The 23772-nt window shown below is 43.0% G+C and overlaps 1 protein-coding gene across 5 annotated transcripts in view, besides 1 other annotated feature; it reads right to left on the bottom strand.

The window, feature by feature from the left end:
* Positions 1 to 23772, bottom strand: part of ADAM12 (ADAM metallopeptidase domain 12) — a 376087-nt gene that overhangs the window by 182793 nt on the left and 169522 nt on the right. The window lies entirely within an intron of this gene.
* Positions 5248 to 5428: a silencer, noted in NCBI's record as "fragment chr10:127889000-127889180 (GRCh37/hg19 assembly coordinates)". NCBI's record gives its function as "represses an EF-1alpha promoter that drives an FKBP-Casp9 reporter gene in an ReSE screen in K562 erythroleukemia cells {active_cell/tissue: K562}" and the evidence as "EXISTENCE:reporter gene assay evidence [ECO:0000049][PMID:32094911]".

A 23772-nucleotide genomic window follows, 5' to 3' on the forward strand; every position in this document is an offset into this window, starting at 1 on the left:
GTAACTACAGTTAATACCAGTGTATCACATTCTGGAAAATTGCTAAAAGAATAGATTTTAAGTGTTCTCACCACATACACACAAAAATGTGTGAAATAATACATATGTTGGTCAGGTGTGGTGGCTCATGTGTATAATCCCAGCACCTTGGGAGGCCCAGGTGGGTGGATCACCTCAGATCAGGGGTTCGAGATTGGCTTGGCCAACATGGTGAAACCCCATCTCTACTAAAAATAGAAAAATTAGCCAGGTGTGGTGGTGTGTGCTTGTAATCCCAGCTACTCGGGAAGTTGAGACAGGAGAATCGCTTGAACCCGGGAGGCAGAGGTTGCAGTGAGCCAAATCGCACCATTGCACTCCAGCCTGGGCAATAAGAGCAAAACTCCATCCCCCACCCAAAAAACAAGAACAAAAACAAAAACCAACATACGTTAATTAGACCAGTTAAGCCCTTCAACAATATATACATATTTCAAAACAACATGTATATGATATATATGATTCTTAAATTTTTCAATAAAAAATACAATTTTAAAAATCTGCATTATGTATCAATCTTAAATATTGTTGAATTCTTAGACACCATTTTTAAATGTGACTACTCTATTTATATGATACAATTTATATGATAAACTTGGGAACTGATATCTAAAAGACAGGGGTCCATGAAACTGTTAAGTTACCTAAAACTTGGAAATAAGGTGAAAAGCTCACTATGTCTGCTTTCAAAGTAAAACCCGATCACCGTCTCACAAGCTGGCCTAGAATGCATCTAAGTGGGGCAGGGGTTAGCGGATGGCCTCCAGGGGCCTGTTTCTTATAAAGTTTTATAGGAATGCAGCTACTTAACGTGTTGCTTATGGCAGCTTTTGTGTTGTGGCAAAAAGAGTGGGGTAACTGCAACAGAGACTGCATGGTCTGCAAAGTCTGAGATGTTTAATAACTGGCCCTTCACAGAAAACGTTTGTAGACCCTCATTCTAGGGGATGCTATTTGGGTTGATTTACCATTTGCTATTGATTAGGGACCTGATTCTGTAAAGTTAGATGTTAACTTGCAGAAGACTGAGAAATGGCAAGTGATATCTGTCAGGCAGAAAAGATAAAGCGCTAAAGTGATGGTTTCATTGCCTGGAAGAACATGAGCCGGTTCTGGATGTGAGCTAGCAGGCTTCTCTCAACCTTCCTTGTTCTCCCTGAGCCTGCTTTGGCATCCTGCTGGTTCCCTCATCAATCAGCTGCATAAACCTTTGACAGATGCTCACTATAGGTTTATGTGAGAGCCATGGCTTTAACTTTCTGAAGTTTGTGCTTTGACATAACTTATTTGTCTACATTTGATTGAAGACACATTTACTGAGCAACTCTGATTGGCTCAATGACCTACTGGGCCCCTTCTATGTCGCTGAGTCATGTTGGATGCTAGGTGGGATACAAGAGTGGGTAAGAACTGGGGTTGACAGAAAATAACTCATCCACTCAAATAACTACAATACATAATACACGTGCTCAGAAATAAATTTGTGTAGTAAAAGTCATAGTTCATGGTAACTGCCTGATTAGTTATAGTTAGTTGCTGGTGGGTGAGATTATGAATACTTAAAGATTTCCTCCTTTCCTTTCTGTAATTTTCTGTAAGGAGCATCTGTTGCTTCTTGTAAAATAAAAAAAAAGTGGGGAATTTGATTTTAACTTTTCAAAAATGTCAGTCAGGGAAAATCAGGGAATGTCGTTTGGCTTCAGTGGGAGACTAGGGGACAAAGGAAAAATTCAGATAGGGCAGGGGATCTAGGGTATAGAGGCCTTGGAAGCCGGGCTGACAAATTTGACCCATCATTTTGGGTAAGAGGGAGCTGCTGTGGCTTTAAGATGGGAAGAAGAGAAAGAAGTAGAAATCTGCCGTGCAATCCAGACCTGAGATAAAGAAGACACGGTCCCAGGTGGAGGCAGGGGTGGTGTGGAAGACATGGCTAGGTGAGGAGCTATTTGTAAAGACAGACTTAGAGATGACGAAGCAAAGATGAGCTGGTTGGAAAGGGCACTGACTAGGGCCCCTACAGGGAGTGACAAGGCATCTTTTGGACAAAGTCCATTGGTGAACTCTGGAAGAAGCCAGCTGCATCTGATCTGTCCTCGAATCCCTGAGGCCGAGCCTGGTGCCCAGAACATAGAACAAGCTCGGGATACATGTCCCAGGCTTGAGCGGAAGGGAGGCAAGTTGAGGGTTTTGGTGATGCAGCCTGGAGGCTGTGCACCACAGGAGGTCCACAGCAAGACTGTGAGTGACCCTGTGGGAGAGGACAGTCGTGTGCTTCCCTCCTGGGGTTGCAGAGGAAGCACAACCAAGCCAGGAGTCCGAAGAGGAGCAGCACAAAGATGGAATGGAAGTCAGGGAATTTCTCATTGCTGGGAACTAAATGACTGATTTAAGGAAGGCCGGATGGTTGAGCATCTGAGGACACAGAGGTAAGCCTGAGAAACAGACCTGGGTTTGGCATGCAGGAGCCTGCCTGGCTGCATTTGGTATTTATATATCACTGGTGCCCAACAAATAGTCAATGAATTTGGAGGCTGAAGTAAAGATACTTAGGTGGCCATGTGACAGAGAGAAGTGATGCTGGTAGGGACATCTTTGGGAAGGGAGGGAGGTTATGAGTGGAGAAGAAGCAAGAAAATGCTTCACAGGCCTGAAAGCCCCAGACAGCGGGTGGTACGTGGAAGGCCTAAGTCTCCACCACGCATGGGGTGACATCACCTCCGTGAACTGCAGGAATGGGAGAGGGAAGGGACTGGGGCTTCAATGTGAAATTACAGTTCTTCATTCCACACAAAGACATGTGTTCCAAATTAACATCACTGTTTCCTAAGAAGCGTGAAGATGCAAACCAGGTATCTCCTCATGGGTTGGGGCTGGTGTTCAGTCAAGATGGACAGCCACTACGGGCCTTGCTCTCCTCCCTTGAGTCCACGGCCCTCCCTGGAAAGCCCCCTGTGGGAGGTGCAGATGCAGGACAGGAGAGGGGTCAGTCACCGTTGCAGACGCCCATGCTCTCCGGCATCAGTAGACACATTTCAAAGACTGAATCTCAACCCTGCCATGGCAGAGGGGAGGTCACGCTATCAGGAAGGTCTGTACCTTTTTCTGGTCTAATGAAGTGTAAGACGACAGAATTTACACAACCAGGAGAGAGACCAGAAGGGCCCGGCAAGTCTCATCACCCACATGCTGGATTTGTCTCCAGCTCCTGGAGCCATTGGGAGGGGCCATATGTTCTGCATTTCACCGGCTCTTGCAGTGAAATATTTGCTATCTGGTTTGTGGACGCAAAATGTGCAACCAGGGCCAGTGTAGCCTTTAGCTCGTGTGAATCCTGCAGCTTCTGTTTCTGGGCCTGAAGACAGAGATCCAGCACCTCCCCTGCTGCTCCTACCCAGCTGTGGGTGCCGGGGATCTCTGCCTGCACCTCTGGATGAGGCTGAGTGCCTGGCACGCATCCTTGCAAAGCAAATGAACAACCATTACAAACAGACTCAGTTTTCATCTCAAGGTAGGTCTGTGCTTAAACCTGACAATATGCTCTTTCCATTTTATTTTTCTTTAAACCCCACCAAATTTCATGTGTATTTATGAATATACTGTTACTGCCAAATTCCTGGCACTTTATTCATATTAGAAACTCCCAGCTGTGGTGAGAAAAGAGGAGAACATTTTTCAAGAGGGGAAGAAATGACTTTTCCCAGTATATCAGAAATATGTCCCATTTTATTACCACTATCTGATATCAAAGAGTAAGGAAGGTAGGCTTGAGCAGAAGGCCTGTAGATTCCAGAAATTTCTTTCAGGGCATCTGTGTCTTTTTATGGTGAGCTTTGTGCTTTTGGGGCCCTAGGAATAAGGAATTTAAGTTATGTAGTCAAGTCCTCAGTCTCACTTTAAAACTACCTGCTTACCAGGTTGAAGACCCCAATAAGTTTAGACTAACCACCTGAATGAAGGTTTCGTTTGGGGCAATTATCTAGATGATTCAGTAAAGTGTAAGAAAAAGTGATTTCAAAGCCTTGGACAATGACAGGAGGATGAGGCAACCCAGCCCTGCTGAAAACTTATCCACCTAATCACCATCGAGATCAGCGGGCCTGACCATCCCGCTGAAATGGCCGGTGTTCATTTCAAGTCATGCCAACAATCATATCTGCTTGCAGTGCATGAGTCATTTTAGGCATAACGGCCACCAGCCAATTTCAACGACTACCCATGACTCAGCCATATTGTCAAGTTCGCAGCCCCTCCTGGCCTCCAGCTAATGCGTTGGGATTCTACCGCAGAAACGCTCCCATAAACCTCTGCTCATCAAGTGTCATCAGCCCCATGCATCATGTGACCCTGTCTGTGGGAAGCTGCTGCTGCTTCCCAGAGTGTGTCTCGGACCGTCTTACACATCTAAACAAAACCAGGTTTTCATTTTTAGACTTCAGTGAGTTATTTTACTAAATCAGAGAAAAATAAACATTTAGAATTACAAATGGAATACATATAAAGTTTCTGTACATGTCAGTAATATTCCCTGATAATGAAAGAATAAGGATGCATTCTTTTAAAATAAGTCATCCTATCCCTGTCTCTCTAGCTAATTGAGATTGTGCATGACCTTGAGAAAGGCATTAAGGTTTGTTCTATTAACAAACATAGACAGTGTGCACCTGATCAAAGCAATGCTTTTTGGTCAAATGATTGACTAACAAAAACAAAAGCCCACTGGCACAAAATACAGGCACTCAATGGGGTCTTCCACACGCACCATGACCTATGTATATAGTCCATCAACAGAAGGAAGGACAGTGACTTACACACTAGTTACCAGACAATTACCACCTACGAGATGCTCTTTAATATTCACTGTTCTATTAATTAGAATATTCTATGAATTGGTATTTCCATGCAGGGTCTGACCTGGGCCACATAATGAGGTGGAACAGGTGCAAGCTGTTAAGGTTGGCAAGAAGTGCAGCTCACACGGGGACTGGATGGTCTGAGGGCACTAGGAGGGAGCAGGAAGGACTCCAGACTTCCTAGGTCTTCAGTTAACTCAATGGTTTTTGTCTTTGAAAATGGAGTAACAGATTAATAACCATGACATTGATCCCCAAACACGATCAGATGCCTTCAAGTATGGTCTCAAGGCTCAGGAAGTTTATGCTCTAATTATGAAAATGAAATTGAACAGTAACCAACACCAATAAAAGCAGGAGCATTTGGAGGTTAAAAACCAGAATTTTGGAGTCAGAAAAATCAGCACGACTCCTGTCTCCATCTCCCACTACTTGGTGAGATCTTGGGCAAGGGATTTGCCTCCCTCAGCCTCAGCATCTTAATCGACAACACCACGATATAATGGTTCCCACACTGTGGAGCTGCCGTGGGGTGCCAATAAGATAATGTGTGCAAAGAGCTCAGTTACGGTGCCCAGTGAACTCTCCAGGAACGTTAGCTATTTATGGCAAGAGCAACATCAGCAGCAACAAAGCACCAGATGAGAAGCTCTAAATGGTTCAGAATGTTCAAAGGAGAGAGGATTCTCAATAGGTTGGAGTCTCCAAGACTCTAGAGAAAGAGCCCAGGATGTGGTTTGAGATGGACGTTGGAGAGTTGTTAGGACTTAGATTTTGTGTACGTGATGGGGGCAGGGTGGTGGTGGTGGTTAAATCAAAGCAACAGAGATGCTGTAAGCAAAGGCACAGATATTGTAAATGGCACATGGAATGTTCTAGAAACAGTAGACCAGTCTGGGCAGGGCATAAATTTCTCATATGGGAGGTAATAGGACGTGATCCTAGAAAGGTGGGGTTGTCCAGGCTGGAAAAGAGTATGAGCATCAGGCTAAAGTAGTCAGAATTTCTTCCACAGGCCAAATGGTTATTGAACAACGGAGTGAGAAAAAGGGATCATTTGAGAAAGGATAACATGATGTGTGCCGTGGGTTGAACCGTCCTTCCAAAAAGATACGTTTAACTCCTACTTCCCGGCACCTGTGATGGTGACTTTATTTAAAAATAGGTTCTTTGCAGACGTAACCAAGCTAAGTTGAGGTCATACTGGAGTAGTGTGGGCCTTACAAGGAGAGGGAAATTTGAACACAGGCACGCAGAGAGGAGGCTGCCATGAGACGAAACAGAGATACAGAAGAGAAACAGGGGAAAAGGCCAAGTGACAAGGGAGGCAGAGACTGGAGTGTTGTTGCCACGAGCCAAAAACGCCAGGGAACCCCAGGCAAGCACCAGAAGCTGGAAGAGGCGAGGAAGGGTTCCTCCCAGAGCCTTGGGAGGGAACGTGGCCCTGCCAGAAGTCACAAGTCCTGGATTTAGGATTTCTGCCTTCCAGAGCTGCGAGAGACCGAGTTTCTGTTGTTTGAAGCCACTCAGTTTGTGGTGCTTCATTACAGCAGCCCTGGGAGATGGGGAACTGGCAATGTACAGGGAAGACATGATGTAGTCACCAGATGAGAGAGTGGTGGTGACAAGGAACAGAGCTGAGAAGCCATTCTTAGAGTGGATCAAAGACCTGGAGATACAACGGTGAAATGAAGAAAGAAAAAGGGAAGTGGTAAGAACCCAGAGAACCGAGGTGCTCCCATTGATAGAAAGAAAGACCAGGCAGAAACAAAAACAGAGAGGTGTTGGCTCTGAGCAAGACCTTCTACCTCGAGCAGAGAGGCCTGCCCCAGAGAGAGGCAGCAGGCTAGTTCAGCAACGTTGTCGTTCACATAAAGAACGTCCAGGGAAAGAATGGGCGGGCCTTCTTTTTGCAAGGTCAGAGCTCGTCCAGTGGAAAGGCTCTGGGGCTGCAACGCACAGGATGTACAGCACCAGTGCCAGGCCTCCTTGTCCACTTCCATTCACTCTTGTCTTAATGCCTTGGCAATTAAAACTTCCAAACATCTCAGTCGATTCTTCTTCCACTGTGGCTGGAGATCCACCCCATGTGGGGAAGTTCTACTCCGAAACTTATTCCCATGGGTTTCTAGCTATTAGTACCTGTGGAAAACTTTTGCTTTATTTCAAGATCTTTAGAAAAATAAACAGGGCATACCATAATTGTTGGTTAATTTGTTTTCAGTTAATTGATTCCAGATTTCAGCCTTTCTGACTATTACCACTTTTACCTTTTTCAGCCTATCCTTAAGTTCACTGAACTGTAATTTTGTATAAATTTAATGACTATCCAATGACATTACGAAGTCTGAAAATCTTGCTTTTGTATCTTGAGGTGTCCTACCCTGTAATCCGAGGGTTTGAAAAACCCCAAAATGCTCTACTACTTCTCTCTCTCTCTCTCTCTCTCTTTAACCAGAAGAAGATAAAGGTCACTCTGCAGTCAGAATAATTGCTGCAGTGGATTGAAGATATTTTTAAAAACTTTCTCTCAAAATTACAGATTTAAGATGACAACGAAAGTAAAATTGCAGTTGAACTCCAAAGCAAAACCTTCAACTAAAAATACAAACTACTCACAACGTACAATTTTGCCGGGGCCAAGAGGCAAAAGAGCTTCATATCAACAGAATTCTCATAATCTCTGAGTGTCTACAGAACTCAAGTGGCTTCAAGTTGTATAAAGTCCCCAAATCACTGCAGGTTCGCAGACGTACGTGTCTCTGAAATGCTCTAACATTTTTCCGAAGGTCAAAGTGAGACTCGATCTTTAAACCACCGAAAGAAAAAAATGTCTCCTTTCAAGACTTTTTATTTCACATTGAAATTAAAAATTAAAATTAAAAAGTTTCACATTGTTGCAGATAGTAGAATACAGGGGAAATTGTGTACAAAGTTCCATACTGGCTCCTTTTAACTGGACATCTTTTGTGAAAGTTCAGGTGCCCAACTAGTTGTCATCAGCGAAGGAGTAAGGAAGGAAGAATGAATTATGGAGACAGCGATGGTCAGGTTTTTAATTCAGTAAAAACCACAAAAAACCTTTATTTCTAAACTGAAAGTTTCTTACCTTAATAACTAATCAGAGTGTACATTTTATTTAATCTATAGGGATTGTAGTAGTAATTTCCTATAAGAAACTAGAAAGTATTCTTTATTTGACATGCATATTAATATGTCTATGCCTTCCTACCAACACCTATTGGAAAGAATTATAGTCTGAAGGAGAAGAAATAGCTTGGTTCAGTTGTTACTAAAATCATATTTAAGGTAAATATTGCAACAGACGTTTTATTTTATAAAAAGCAAGTATAGTGAAATTCCTGTGTGGAATGGAGGTGCTTCAGCCAAGAAAAATTATGTTTTACACATTTCAGACGTTCTTTTTGAATAAATATAGAAGCATAAACACGCAGAAATACAGAAGTCAGGAAGAAAAATGATTTGGGCATAAACTCTATCAAAGCATCAAATACCATTTTACTGAAGAGCTGTTCAATTTTTAGATAAGAAATCATGTTTCACAAACATACCCTAAATACCCTTTGCTTATCTGACAGGATCTGATCAAATATCTTTTGAGGTAAAATTTTCCTTCCTACTCCCACAAATTCTTCAGAAACTGCTTAGCAGAACTATTTAAAAAAATAAGTTTCATAACTTTGGGCAATGTGAGAGTGTGACCCACAGAGACTGTGCTATGGCCCAGTTCTGTGTTGGGAGTGTGGCTGCCTGTGATGGACTTCACCCTCTGTGGTGGACTTCACTCTCTGTGGTAGATGTATTCTTGGAGAAATCAAGCAAATCAGAGTGAGTGCGCGCGCGCGCGTGTGTGTGTGTGTGTGTGTGTGAACCAAACTAAGTCATCTTTTCAATGTCCCCAGAAGTTCACCCAGGAGTTGAAGGAATTCTGCAACAAATTATTCACAGTAGGAGCTGCCAATGCAAGGCTGCCAGTGGCGAATGCTTTGGCTGCTGAACCCCCAGCTCCTATCTCCAGCCCCTGGTTCCTCATGGAGAAGCCACCTCCTACTTCAGAGGCTAGAAATGGAAATCTCCCCACCCCTGGCAGCCAGCTCCAGTCAGTGGATCTGCTGGGAAACTTTCTAGAAACATTTTCTTCCCTAACAAGAAGCGTAATACAAGGGAGGAAACATGGCTTCCCTTTCCCCTCCATTAGACATTGTTGGGTGAAGATGTGATGCTTGGAACTGGAGCTTTCCATCACCTGTGACTAGGAGAAAGCCCAGAGAATTGCAGAAAGGCTGGCCCAGGATGCAGGTGCTGTCAGCTGCTAAATTAGCCTCACCTAGCAGTGCCACCTCTGGGTGACTGTGTCTGTGAGACAATAAGCTCCTCATTGCTGAGTCACTCTGGGTCAGGTATTCTGTTACTCACATGGAACAGAAAGCAGATTCCCGCTTCATGCCCTTTCTTCAGGGCATTTTCCTCTGGGAAATCCCTCTCATCCCTCAACGTTTAGTCTATGAGTAACTCAAGAGACCGCAAATGAAAATGTGGCACCTTTGTTCATAAATTGTTAAGAATTTAAAGACGGTGATAGCAGAGCATTAAACCAACCATGGGCCCTTCTAGCTGTGAGGCCTTGTGTGACCACTCGGACTGCACATTCATGAAGGTGGCCCTATTTACGGGCTTATCTTACCTACCAAATGGGTAGCACATTTTTTCTGTAAAAGGCCAGATCATAAATATTACAGGCTTTCCAGGCCTCACAGTCTTTGTCACAACTACCCAACTCTGCGCTATTCTAAGTAGATTAGATAGGTTGGAACCCACCCACAGTCACAAGAATGGGCATGAGAACCACGTTTGCCAAGAGTAACCCCAGGTTCTTGGCCAGGGTGGATTGGCTCGGGGCTAGGCACCTGACGGAAGCCAGGCCATTTGGACACCACCAAGTCTTTCCAGAAGGTACTTGGGAAAGATGGTACCTTTCCCCTGGAGTTCCATAGCTAATACTGTGTGATCTGTGGATGCCAATGGCTTTTGTCATACAGCATAGCAGGAGAGCCTGACCAAGAGACAACCAGAGAGCCAAAGCCATGATGACACTCTGAGCCCCTGGATCAGGCCACACCTGAAGCAAGTTGTACCTTGCTTCCCAGTTATGTGGCACAAAACCTCTTTACCTTTTCTTTTAGCAGTTTGAGTTGGTTTTCTGTCACTTAAAACCAAAAGAATTCTGAAAGTATGTTTAAAAAAAAAAAAACAACCAACCCTGTGTACTTTAGGCCAACTTCACTCCTCTTAAGTTAGAATAGCTGAATCACTGGAATACACTTTATATAAGATGGCAAAAGTCTTAATTTAATGTCAGCAAGAGTTGTAAAACCTAAAATGAAAAATCTCCCAAATCCACTGGCTTGTTACCATTTCTTGAAGCTCAACTCAGCCCATGCCAGCTCAGGATCTGTATATTTCTTAAACCTGATCTGTCTGTCACATAGAATATCCTTCTGAAAGGGACAGGCTTCCACAGGACAAGTGAATGCTTAGCATCAGGTGGCTGAAATATGCACTCATTGCAGTTTCCAAAAGTAAAGACAAAACCCAGGCTAAGATATAGAATCTTATCTCAAATTTTGCAGACTTCTTGTATCTCTGCCCTTCCATTACTCATGACTCTTTAGTTCCAGATGATGTATAACATGTTACTGTCTGTGAAAGACTGATCGGTATATCCTGGAGATTTTTCTTTTTATTGTTTTTCAGTTGATATCTTTTTAAATTTGAGTTAGTCTGGTCATATGATTTATTTTATAGACAAAACATCACTGGTATCTGAATAAATTCTAATAATGCACACTAGTACATACACTCAACCACATAAAAAATAACACATCATAGTCTAAAAATCTTGGTGGGAAGGCTATTATCTGGCCTGCTTAGCTAGACTTTATGTGTCTGGAAAAATGTCCAATTTTTTTTCTAGCACCTAAACAAATTATCTTGTGTATAGCAAAGCTGGGTCTAACCTGAACTCAAATAACTAGACCACAAAACCCTCTGATGTTGTTTTGCTGTTAAGCTTTCTTTATTCAGGAGAAACACATTGTAAGAAAACAATTGCAAGGCAAAGCAACTAGTCTATAGAACTACCACATGGACATGAATCTTTCTGACCCTTTCTAAAAGTACTTGCCCTACACACCAGAAATTCTGACTCTGAGAGGCTTCAAGATCCTAAATCCCAAAACGATAGACGATTAAAGTATACTCAGGTGGGACACTATCCTGCTTAGTCTAGGGAGACAGATGAATCAATTTTGAAAATATTTTCAAACACAAGCGTCAAAGTGAAAGAGGTGACTCCTCGGCACTCAAGCAGGGAATTAAGTTAATCATAATATCCCATGAGCAAAGAGAAACCCCCAGTCTGCTGCCTCTAGAATGTGTGTATTCATATCCAACACTGACAAACACAACACATCTCACTCAAAAAGTACATCGTTTTCTATTACGGGATGTTTATCTGTATCTGCTAAGACCAAACACCAGGCAATTATAAGATTACATGGCTGGCAAGTACCAACATTTCAAGAAAGAAACATGCAAGAATCATGCTCTGAGTTCTAAGTATGTTGCAGTAGGAGGGTCTTCTTTCTCCTGAAGGCTTTGCAGTTCTCTGCAGGCAGGGAGGAAGGAAAGTGATACGGTTTGGCTGTGTCCCCACCCAAATGTCATCTTGAGTTGTAGCTCCCTGAATTCCCATGTGTTGTGGGGGCGGGGGGGAGCCAGTGGGAGGTAATTGAATCATGGGGGCAGATCTTTCCCTTTCTGTTCTCCTGATAGTGAATAAGTCTCACAAGATCTGATGGTTTTATAAAGGGGAGTTTCCCTGCACAAGCTCTCTTTTCTCTCGTCTGCTGCCATGTGAGATGTGCCTTTCACCGTCCGCCATGATTGTGTGGCCTCCCCAGCCATGTGGAACTGAGTCTATTAAACCTCTTTCTTTTGTAAATTGTCCAGTCTTGGGTATGTCTTTATTAGCAGCATGAAAACGGACTAACACAGAAAGCAAGGATAAAGAACATAAACTAGAAGTCACCTCAGATGAGCATCTTGAGATCACAGATGAGAAAGCTTGGGGGAAACAATGGAATGGGGAGACAGGACACAGAAAAGGGAAAGGGGTTTACTGTGCCTCATTGGCAGAATGCAATGGCTCCCAACATATTGGTAGAGTTGCCACACTTTTGATTTCATCACTAAGAAATGATCATGCATTGGGATCTTTTCTTATAATCTTAGCTAAGTTATAGTGCAAATTACGCAAGCTATTATAATTAAGGTCTGATATTTTATGTGAAAGCACATTAAAATGATTTAAGAGAACATTCTCAAAGAGTGCTCATGATACATCTGTGCAATTCCAATGTTATTTTCTCAGTTTTGAAATGCTATTGGTATTGAAGACTCTGCCCAGGACCTTGTCTGTTACTAATAAGCTCAATATAAAATACGATTGCTTCTGCTCCAATTATACTGACTCATATAGCAATTGGTTACTAAGATATAATTGCTTTTGTGGCTAACATTTTTGTAAAACTTTCAAAGTTTATATTATTTGAGATTACTTACTGATACTAAGAAGATTACAGCTGCTGTTATTTATTTAAATGGTTGCTCGAACACCAATATTCTTCCAGATTCTTGTTTCACTCATCTCTTTATCATCATCTCTCAGGAATTAGAGATTCAATTCCAGGATATATTGTTGATAAGATTACAAAAATATACAGAAACCCTTACATGTTTCAATATGAAAAACACTAAAAGGAAAAATAGTAGACAGCCAGCCTTGCAAGGAACAACATATTTCAATGATTTCTGTAATTTTTTTCTGATAATGTACATTTTAAATAAAGAAAGTTATTATTCACAGAATTAGATTTTATGTAGGGGATTATATCCATTTTCAAACTCTGTTTCTTGATGTGGGATTTATGCTGCTCTGATAAAGGAAATACTTCTATCAGCTGACTGAGATAAGGGAAAGAATTCCCTGGGAGATTTAAAGAAGCCACCATAAAAGGTTCTTAATTTTAAATCAGTGGTTCTTAATGGAGCGTAGGGTGATTTTGTGCCCCACCCCAGGGGACACTGGCAATATCTGCAGATACTTTTGGTTGTCACAATCAGGGGAGCAGACTGTGGGCAGACGACAGGGATGCTGCCAAACATCCTACAATGCCCAGTGCAGCCCCCAGCAACAAAGAATTATCCCCTCCTCTGCAAGAGTCAATAGGGCTGAGGGTAAGAAACCTGTTCAAGCTTCATCAGACACTGGTTCTTGGTTGGTCAGATGGCTTTCAGAGCTCTTAAAAATTCATATGCAATTGTACACAAGCACAAATAAATGTGGGAGGCACAGGATAAGCACACCACACATAGATTTCTTAATGAAGTAAAGGTAAAGAAAAATAAATAAAAGTAGGATTTATCTTTACTTTTCAACGGCAGCTGACTGGCCATCAGGAAATCTATTTCATGTTTATTGGGGGATAAAATCTACACTCCAAAATTCAGGTAGAAGAGAATGGAAACTCACAAGACAGGAAGACTGAGCAGAAACAGAACCATCTGGTAACCTGATTAAAATGATCATTTGACACTTGCAGGAAAATGCTATGAAGCCCAATGGAGTAAGCACACTTCTTTAAATCATATCCATCAGAAACTCTTACACTGCGGGATAGAAAGGAGAAAAAAGAAAGTTTTTTTTTTTTTTTCCTGTTACCACCCACATCTTTCTGGTGATCACATCCCCTAGCCTATACAAATTGAGCTTTTTCCTCAGTTACGTGCCAACTTCTTATCGTAAGAATGTTCTCTGAGAATTGTCAAATGACAAGACATCTCTTTTCAGAATTAATGAAACTTTTCTATTACTCATTATTCTGCTGTCAAAATTGAGACCAGCAAGAGAGCAATGAAAATCAGAATTCCAAAGGAAAGAAGAACGCTGTCAATTCACTGTTGGGAATCTTGGCAGCAAGCCAAAATCCTATCAACATAGGAGGGATATTTTCATCTTCTAATTGCTTCTTATGGCTACTTCCAGAAAATGTAGACTGTTCACATCTTGATGAAAAGGGGTAAAAAGCTAATGCTGCTTCTGAAAACTTTATTATTGTAGCATCCCTGAGTATAAATTTTTTAGACACCTCTATAAAATTCTGTTAGATATGTAAATTGTTTCAAACTGATAAAAATGCCTAACAATTACCTGATCCATAGTGCTGTTCCTTTCTTGTCTTGGCAGGAAAGACAAAACTGTCTTAAGCAGAGATTATTCTTTAGAATTTATAAGGATAATTGATGGTGAGAAAAATAAATCACTGGGGTGTCCTATTGTCACACAGAATTTATTAGAATTTGTCCTAATAACCATAATATGATGATTTGTCACAGCTTTGCTGGCGACAAACACAGGAGTCAGATTTTACAAACTCTGTTGAGTTTAGGGCAATGATCACATGATGATTGAAATAATCCAAATATTTTAGCTGCATTCTGTCAGCAGCTATTTTTAGATATAAAAAGTTTTCAGAAAGAGGGTGACAAAACAAGGCCTATATTGTTATATTGAATGCAGGTTTCAAACCACAGAGGATCCAAGAAAAAGATTTTGTAAAACAAGAAGTTCTTTACTTTTCCTTTACCGTAACTCCCAAGCCTATGAGCACTAAGTTCGACAGCAGAACACGACTCAATAGATTTAGAGGTCTGGACCCATGAAAAGCTCAAGATACAGCTGATTATCCTAGCTAGCACACAACTTCACTGGGAACAGGCGACTGCTGATCACTCCTCATGTGTAACTTATTCTCCTTAATCATTTTATTAATGCAGACTCACATAACTACATCTCGGGATCCTCCGGGTACTACGTTAACTCTCAGGCTTGGTTTTTGGACTTTCCAGATGCAACACTCAACTCGATGACTGAATCTCCCATCTTTCCCCAACTGCCAGGTACATTCATGCCTGCTCCCTTCCTCCTGGGCTGACCCTCTATGGGGAAGGTCCTTCCTTTCATCTCTGCGTGGTGAACTCCATTTCATTCTTCCAGAAATAGCACGTGACAAAGCTGGACTAGCAGCAGCTCCTGTTGACCAATGCTTTCCTCTGTGTCAGGCGCCGTGCTGGTCATTCTATAAATGTTATAAATGTTATTGCATCTACTCCTCCCCAGGTCCTCAGCCTGAGAGAGAGACAGCCCCTACAGCAATTTCTTCCTCACTGCTCTGGACATCAGCCCCGTGTGAGTCACCTAGCACCCGACCCTGGCAGGTCCCAATCCAGGAGGAGGCAATGACCACACAGCATGTCAGATGCTAGGTGGAAAGAGCAAGGTGGAACAAGTGGGGTAGGGGCAGGGCCACAGAGAGAATGTCGTGGATGGCTTCCTGGCTGACAGGACGTGAGTGAGTCCTCCTGACTGTTGAATAAAAGAAGTCCAGTGAAGAAGGTGGTGGAGGAGATGAACATGGATATGGACGATGATGACTGGGCCACGAGGAAGGTCACCAGAGAGCCCAGGATGAGATTCAGCCATATGCCTAGGGAAAGGTTCCTTCCACCAGTGAAACCTGCACTGGAGGAGACAGAGCAGGAGAGCAGAGGGCTGGGTTGACCCAGAAGTGGGGCTTTTCTGGACATTAAGGGAGGCTGATAGGGCAGGAGCAAGGCTGTGAGAAGTCTGGCAGACTAGGAAATCATGGAAAGGTTACGAGGGTCATTTATGGGTGGCTTCCAGGTAGGTGGCACTTTGGTCCCTGTTTTCTGCCAATATCCTCCATATTTTCCTCTGAGTAATTGCCTTTTTCCTATTTTCAATCTTTGTCCTTTGGTGGAGTTGACTCCACCAAGGGTGGGGTCTTGGTGCCACTCAGGCACCTTACACTGTGGTGTAAGGAGCTGCCTCTCTCTTCCTCTGTTTGGGGCTGTGGCATTAGAATGTGAGTTATGGGAGCTGCTCTCGCCATTTGCAACCACAGGGTGTGCACAGGGGTGGCTGGAGGTGATGCCATAGAAAGAATGAAGGTGGAGCTTCCCTTCAGGGCACTCCCTGTCCAGGTATACAGAACCCATCATTGAGATATCAAATAGCTGCATCAAAACTTGCCTGAAGTGTGTTTGTTCCCCTGTTCTTTTGCCAAATGGAGCTAGGCAGGCGGCATACCCCACCCTCCCGGGCTCAGCAATTGGTCCTCAAGAGCTGGGTGCTTCACTTAAGTTCTTCTTTCAGTGGTTGCCAAGGACATTGGAAAAGAGAGTTCACATATTCTCAAAGGAGAAAGAACTTAAGAACCATGGGATCCTGGACCTGCCAGTAGCCATCTCTGCCTCCTGGACCACGTGATCCTCGACCTGCCAGTAGCCATCTCTGGGTCCTGGACCATGTCATCCTGGACCCGCTAGTAGTCATCTCTGCCTTCTGGATCATGTGATCCTGGACCCTCCAGTAGTCATCTCTACCTCTTGAACCATGTGAGTCTGAACCCACTAATAGCCTTCTCTGCTTCCTGAACCATGTGATCCTGGACCTGCCAATAGTTATCTCTGCCTCCTGGACCATGTGATGCTGAATCCGCAAATAGTCATCTCTGCCTCCTGAACCATGTGATGCTGGACCTGCCAATAGTCATCTCTGCTTCCTGTGGACAGATCCAGATGGATAATGAAAACTATGCAGAGGAAAGTTCAGTAGAGTGAGGGAGACCGCGTGAGTCGATAAACACCCTCTGTGCTTCAGTTATTTTGAGTTGGGTTTTCTGTTACTTGAAACAAATCTGTCCAAATAATATGCTTAGACTGGAGCAGTTGTGAAGTCCAGAGTGGGAGGCAGAATGTGGGTGATGGGGAGGGAATAAGGACTTACCTGGGGTTTCATCATTGCCTGGAAAGGTTGTGAATTTGGGTCTTGTTCACTCCCAGGCGTGACTGCTGCGCAGCTCACCAGCCTGGCTGTACATTGCCATGCCAGGTACCGCACTGGTGATTAAGATTCAGGGGCAGACTCCCACTTTCCAAATGAGGATTTTCTCCTCTTTTATGCATACTCATCCACAAACTCCAAAAAAAGTTTCATCTATAGATGTGAAAATTCAATCTGAGTATGGTGCCCATATTGAATCAACACAGCTGGGGTTAATTAGAATTTGGAAACAAGAATGATTTGTTCTAATAATGATCATGATGCTGTCATTTTCCAAGTGACCAAAATCTACTAATTTTATCTTGAACCAAGGAATAAAAGGTATATTCTAAATGTATCCTGCCCCTCAGCTTTGTGAAAAAATTAAGATGTACTTATCTTGATTAAACATTGGTTTATCTTTTGGTAACTATCTTGAAATGCAAATAAAACTTGATAGAGAGTTAAGCAGCAGCTCTTCATTCCTCTTTATTTTATTTTATTTTATTTTATTTGGGTCAATCCCTTCTATTCCTACATATATGAAGAAAACTGGGCTATCTTGGTTTCTCAGTCTTGCCTTGCTAATCTAATTTTATCATCTTTAGCCACTGATACAGGTATCTCTTAAGCATGAGCATTTGAATTCTTCTGAATTTAATTAAAAGAGCAGCTTTGATTATGGAGAGATGGATTCTCTTCAATTTTGCTATCACAGTAAGCAAAGGCTTTTCTCCCTTGTTATGATTAAATGCTTAAGAATGTGTCTGGACTCCTGAGCTTGGTCCTACCACCTGCCTTTTGTGTATTCTCTCTCATGCAGTCAGAGTAACTTTTTTTTTCTAAATAACAGCATTATTGAGATATGCTTCACATACCATAAAACACAGCCTTTGAATGCACATAATTTGGTGGTTTTTACTACATTCATAGAATTGTGGGAGGGATCTTTAGTAAGTGCACCCCCACCCTTCGAAGCCTTCCAAGAGCTCTACAAGACTCACATTTGGTTCACAATTTCTTTCCTGTCGTATCCAGCACAGTGTTGAGCAGATAATAAGTGCTCAATAAATACCTGTAGAAGGAATGTACCCATTCTTTTAGGAGAGGGCTTAGCTCCAAGATCTACTAAATATAGTAACCTTATTTGTGTTCTGGCAAAAGCATCATAAACCAGAATTTTATAAACAATAAAATGCTATAGGTTTTCGTTTTCACTTGACAACATAAATTTAGATCATCCATGAGGGGATGTGCATATGGTTCGTTCTTTAGATAGAACACACTCGTTTTATCTAATTTCAGCCTAAGAAATTTGAGAGATGATCCCCAGATTATATGCCAGAAGGAATCTGTTGAACAATTTTTAATTGAGTGTTTTAGCAAGACAAGCAGGAAAACAAGAAGCTAATAATTGATCAAACATTTGTTTCAAATGGAACTCTTTGAAATTATATGCTAGAATTTGCCAACTTGTTGAAATAACTAAGCCACCCACTGAATATACCCAAACCACTTTCTCTATGAGGCTTGCAGAACAATTTTGGGGTATAAAAATATGCACAGGCTAAATTACCCATCAACACAAAACTGAATATTCTTATCCTTAAATCTCCATGTGACTAAAACTAATTACTGTTATAAGTGAAAATACATATTTCAAAAAGCTCCCAGTGATGCCAAAAGCATTCAGACTGAAGCACCAAGCAGGTGTTTTAACAATGTCCTTGAAAATTTCCCTGCCAAAATGCTAGAACGAACTCTTGTTTGGTTTACCCCTTAAAGCAGGGACCATCTGCTGACTTGACCTTCCATAGACATAGCAAAAGCAAATTAAAGCAAGTTCCTTCTATTAGAAAGCAGCTTTCCAAACTGAGATGAATTCCAGGCTTAGCAAAGGTTTTGCTACCACTCTGTAGAAAATAACATACTGATTACAAAAGTACAATTTTATAACGTGACCCAATAAATCACTTCAAAAATATGGCTAAAATCAGGACACTGGAAACCACTATAATGCAACAAGAAGCATCAATAAGAAGCTGGTTAGATGAATGAGGGTTCATTGAACATGTGGCATTCTGTGTGAGCATTAAAACAAGAAGGAAGAAGCTTACAGCTACTAAGGAATGATTGTTGGCCGTGGTCGTATGCGCAGAACACCAGATGCAGAATGACAAGGATTATGTGGTCACATCCTGGCTCGACCCTTCATTAGCCACGTGAGTTAGTCAAGTCCCTCCCCTCCCTCTGTTTCTCTATCTGTAACGTGGGGGAGGGTAAGAGTTTCTACCCTGTAGGGTTGCTACAAGGTGCTCCTCTGAGATAACATTTATAAAGCACTTAGAATGGTGCCTGACATATAGTACCTATTATATAAATATTTGCTACTATTCTCATCACCATCATTATAAGCAGTAGCAGAACACAGCCGTGTTAATATATGCATGGGCTGTCTCTGGAAATGTATATGAGAGACTGGAAGCAGTGGCTGCCTCTAAAAGAAGATTCTGGAGGGTGTGGGAGTAGATGGTCAGAGGAAGATTCACTGATTGACAGTACCCTTTTGCAGTGATTGAGTTTCTGTGTGCATTTGTTTCATGGGAAAAAGCACCAAATTTTTAGAAAATGAAGAAATTGGGCCACTAATGAGAGCAAACGTTTTTGAGAAGAGTATCTATGATGTTCATTATGACTCAGCTTGGAGTCCTAGTTAATCACAGGTGGCTATGCACAGACCATTTTTGACTCTAGAATAGCAGCTTTCTGGAATGGGACCCTCGGCCCAGCCCACCTCTCACGCCCGCTGGCTGGATTAGGATGCCACTCGGCTGCTCGCCTCCCAGGCCTCCACGCCTCATCCCTTACCCTCACCTTGGTGACTCTCATCCACCTGGGAGAGTCAGCCCCTCGCTGGGCCATTTTCCTGTCCCAAAGCCTTCTCTGACACCCATTTTCCCATGGCACCTGGTCCAAGCCCCTGGGGCTGGCTTTGGAGGTCCTCTAGCTTGTCTGACCACACCCATCTGTCCAGGCCAGCCTCCCCATACCCACACTTCCTGCTCACATCTGTGACTTCTGTGAGGGGCACTCAGCTGTGGTTCTGGTCTACCTGGGTCCAAACCAGCTCTGCTCCTGAAGGTACTGGCTGTACGGCCTGGATGGCCTTTCCCTTTCTGGCATGCAGGGATAACACTCCCCACCAGCACTACTGACAGGGGTGGTGGGGGAAGGAGGTACATCCTCGGCACAGGGACAATCCCATGGTGCCTTCCTCTTTCCTGTGGCCTCTCCCTGGCTCTGGCTGCCCTTCCATAACTCAGGGTTTCAATCCATGTTAAATATCTGGGGGAGGCCACAGGACAGGGCCTTCCCCTTGAGGAATTTGTAGTTCAGCTCAGGGCCCCCCCGAAATCACAGCCCTTAATAGAGTAATCAAGGGCTTAGGTTCTGTGTGGGAATCTGTGAGGGAAGTGTGCTAACCAAGGACTAGGCCATTAGGAAAACCTTTATATAAAAAGTGATACATGATAGGTAAACTGAGGCCAGGAGGAAACTGGAAAGGTGCAGGAGAAGAGAGCAGGCACATCCATTGGAAGGTGGAGGGCAGAACTCAATGAGGAAGACAAAGACTCAGTTCAAATGCAAAACTGAAGCCTGCAATGAAAAATAAGCCATTTTTCAAAAGCAGAATGTGTACCAGTGACAGTAAATTGTGTATTTGTCACCCCCGGCACAACAACAGCTTTAAGGACTTGTGTAAACAGCACAAAAAAATCAGGGGTGTTAGCCAAGGTTCATGGTATTCGCAAATGGCATCAATATTTTGACTAGTGAGAGCTCACGAGTTGCCCTTGTTTTCTGGCTAAAGGCTTTATGCTTGCATTCCTTGAAGACATCTGTATTATTGTCATAGCCATGAACCCACCCCAGGGAGGCAGCAATATTCCCTTTCCCCAAGTCATATGACTGTGGCCTTTTGTTTTCCCCTTTCGAGGGTTTGCTTTGCCATTTGGTGTTAAAAAGCTTTTGCTCACAGCTTGCTTCTTTTAAAACAGTCTGAGAGATTACAGAGAAGATAGTGAAACTCCCTAAATCACACACTGATGTGCCCTCTGTAGACATGTCTTAGTTGTTCCTGCTAAGGGTCCCAATCCTCACTCCATCCCAGCAGTATTTAAGTGACTACTTTGTGCAAAACACTGTAATGAAATTGGGAAGATAAAACTTCGCCCTAGCCAATGAGGATGAGCTACAGCCTTTCCTACAACAGCAAAGCCCACTTCGAACTTCAAAGAATTCCCATAAAGATTAAAAAGCAAACTCCAGGCAGGCACAAGTCAGCCTGCTGAGGCTTGGCCATTTGTTTCCCAACTGTTACAGAGCTCGAAAGCTCTCAATTTCGCCCCTGCCAAGATGTATTCCATCAGAGCCTTCTACATAAATCACAGCTTGTGATAGATCTGTTGTTTCAGCCTCAAGAAACTGTTAGGTCTGAGTAACTCCAGGAAAAGGGCTTATCCTCCGGGATCATAAATCTTCTCTCCTGACCGTCATGTGAAACGCATCACACTGCTTCAAATGTTCCTTCCGACGCATCCTTTATTAATGATGCCTTTGGTTTTGACCATTTGGAATGTTGAATGTATATCAAAAGCCCAGGGGGCTTCGTAGGTCAGGGAGGTGGCCTCCCTCCCTGCCTGGAACTTAGCCAGGCCACCAGGGTGACCCCGGCAGAAGGCCAGAGGACATTGCCTTGGGGCCAAACAGAAAATTCCAGATTTTGAAAGATGATCCATGAGGTACCCCCAAAGGGCTTCTCATCCACATGCACACCCTGAATCTTCAGTTCTTGAGGCCTTTTCCCTATAACTTCCCATGCACTGTGGTTTTGCCTGAAATCCCACATGACAATTAAGGAGAATATTTTTCTGTTTCTCCTGTTTTCTTGGTGCTCATCTTTCCAACTCTGAGCTCAAGAATCAGGGATGTCAGCAAACAAATCCTGGTACATTAATAAAACAATGTTTAATTAGTAAAACCATGAGAGTGAGAATATTTTTTATAAGAAAACTGATTAAGATGAATGCACTTTTATAATAATCACTATAAAAGGCTAACCATTAGTTACCTAATGAATGTCCTAAATACATTGTGATCTTTGAAAAGATGAACTAAAGTTTACCCAGAAGAGAGCAAAGGTTACTGAGAAAAAATAATCAGTCCCATAGCTTTCTACAAGGAAGAAAAATAAATACCTCAAATTTATGAAGTTATCATAGGAAAACAGAAAAGCCTGTGCATTTGGAACTTTTTTTTTTTTTTTGAAACGGAGTTTCGCTCTTGTTGACCAGGCTGGAGTGCAATGGCGCGATCTTGGCTCACCACAACTTCTGCCTCCAGGGTTCAAGTGATCCTCCTGCCTCAGCCTCCTTAGTAGCTGGGATTACAGGAATGCACCACCATGCCCAGCTAATTTTGTATTTTTAGTAGAGACAGGGTTTCTCCATGTTGGTCAGGCTGGTCTCGAACTCCTGACCTCAGATAATCTGCCTGCCTTGGCCTCCCAAAGTGCTGGGATTACAGGCGTGAGCCACTGCACATTTTTGCTCCATGTAAATTACAATATTTTGGCCAGGCATGGTGGCTCACGCCTGTAATCCCAGCACTTTGGGAGGCCAAGGCAGGTGGATCACCTGAGTCAGGAGTTCGAGACCAGCCTGGCCAACATATAGCGAAACCTCATCTCTACTAAAAAATATGAAAATTAGCTGAGCGTGGTGGCACAGGCCTGTAGTCCCAGCTACTTGGGAAGCTGAGGCAGGAGAATTGCTTGAACCCGGGAGGTAGAGGTTGTAGTGAGCCAAGATCACGTCACTGCACTCCAGCCTGGGTAACAGAGCAAGACTCTGTCTCTCAAAAAAAAAAAAAAGATTACACTATTTTCTAATTGGAAATACAAGAAGCTTTTAATTACATGGAAGTATAACGTAAATAAGGATTTTTTGGTACTAGGTACTTCAGTCACACTGAGCTGCTAGGAATAACAGTGACATGATTGTGATTATAATCATTAATCATTATCAGCAACAAAAGCAAAATACAGTTGTTGAGTGTGTGTGTGGGGGGGCAGGGGGTGGTAACTATCATCCACACTGAGATACATTTGGAGTGAGAAGGGACACTATAATACACGTGCCCCGACAACAGGCGTAACTTGGGCCATCACAGGTAAACATGGACACGTATTCCTTCTAACTATGTTGTTCACCTAACTCCACATCAACTCACCAAGGTAGGTATTCTTATGCCCATTTTGCAGAGGGGGAAACCAAGGCTTGTTCAAGGTCACACAGCTGGTGAACAGAACAGCTGGGCTTGGAACTGACTGCTATGCATTGACTTTTCTGGGCAGACTCAGCCAACAAGAGACATACTGAGGGCATCTTGGTACTTCCTCCCTGCAGGTGCTTGGGTCTGTGAGGTACCCGAGGCAGAACAGATGGCAAAACCTTCATTCTCTGTGAAAGGGCCTGAGAACAGGTACTGTGGGAAGGGGAGCACAAAGGTGCTGGGCAATGGGTCTGCCTTGCCAGGGCCTCACACACCCATCCCACAACACTGGCTTCATATTTGCTTTATCCATGTTCAAAGGATATCCAATGTCTGGACACAAAAGTGAACCCCAGAAACAAACCCTCCAGAGGCAGAATGTACTGTTCTACCCCAGTTCTCATGTGGCATTAGGATAAGAAGGGCAGCTGCCAAATTAGGATCTGTAGAGATGTCCGGGGTTATGATAAAAGTGAGACATTTAGATATTTGTGATAAATATTGATGCCAATGCCTCCCTCCCATCAACTGCACAGCTGCATCACGCCTGACCTCGTGCTTGAT

This window comes from Homo sapiens, chromosome 10, assembly GCF_000001405.40.
Source record: "Homo sapiens chromosome 10, GRCh38.p14 Primary Assembly".
NCBI lineage: Eukaryota > Metazoa > Chordata > Mammalia > Primates > Hominidae > Homo > Homo sapiens.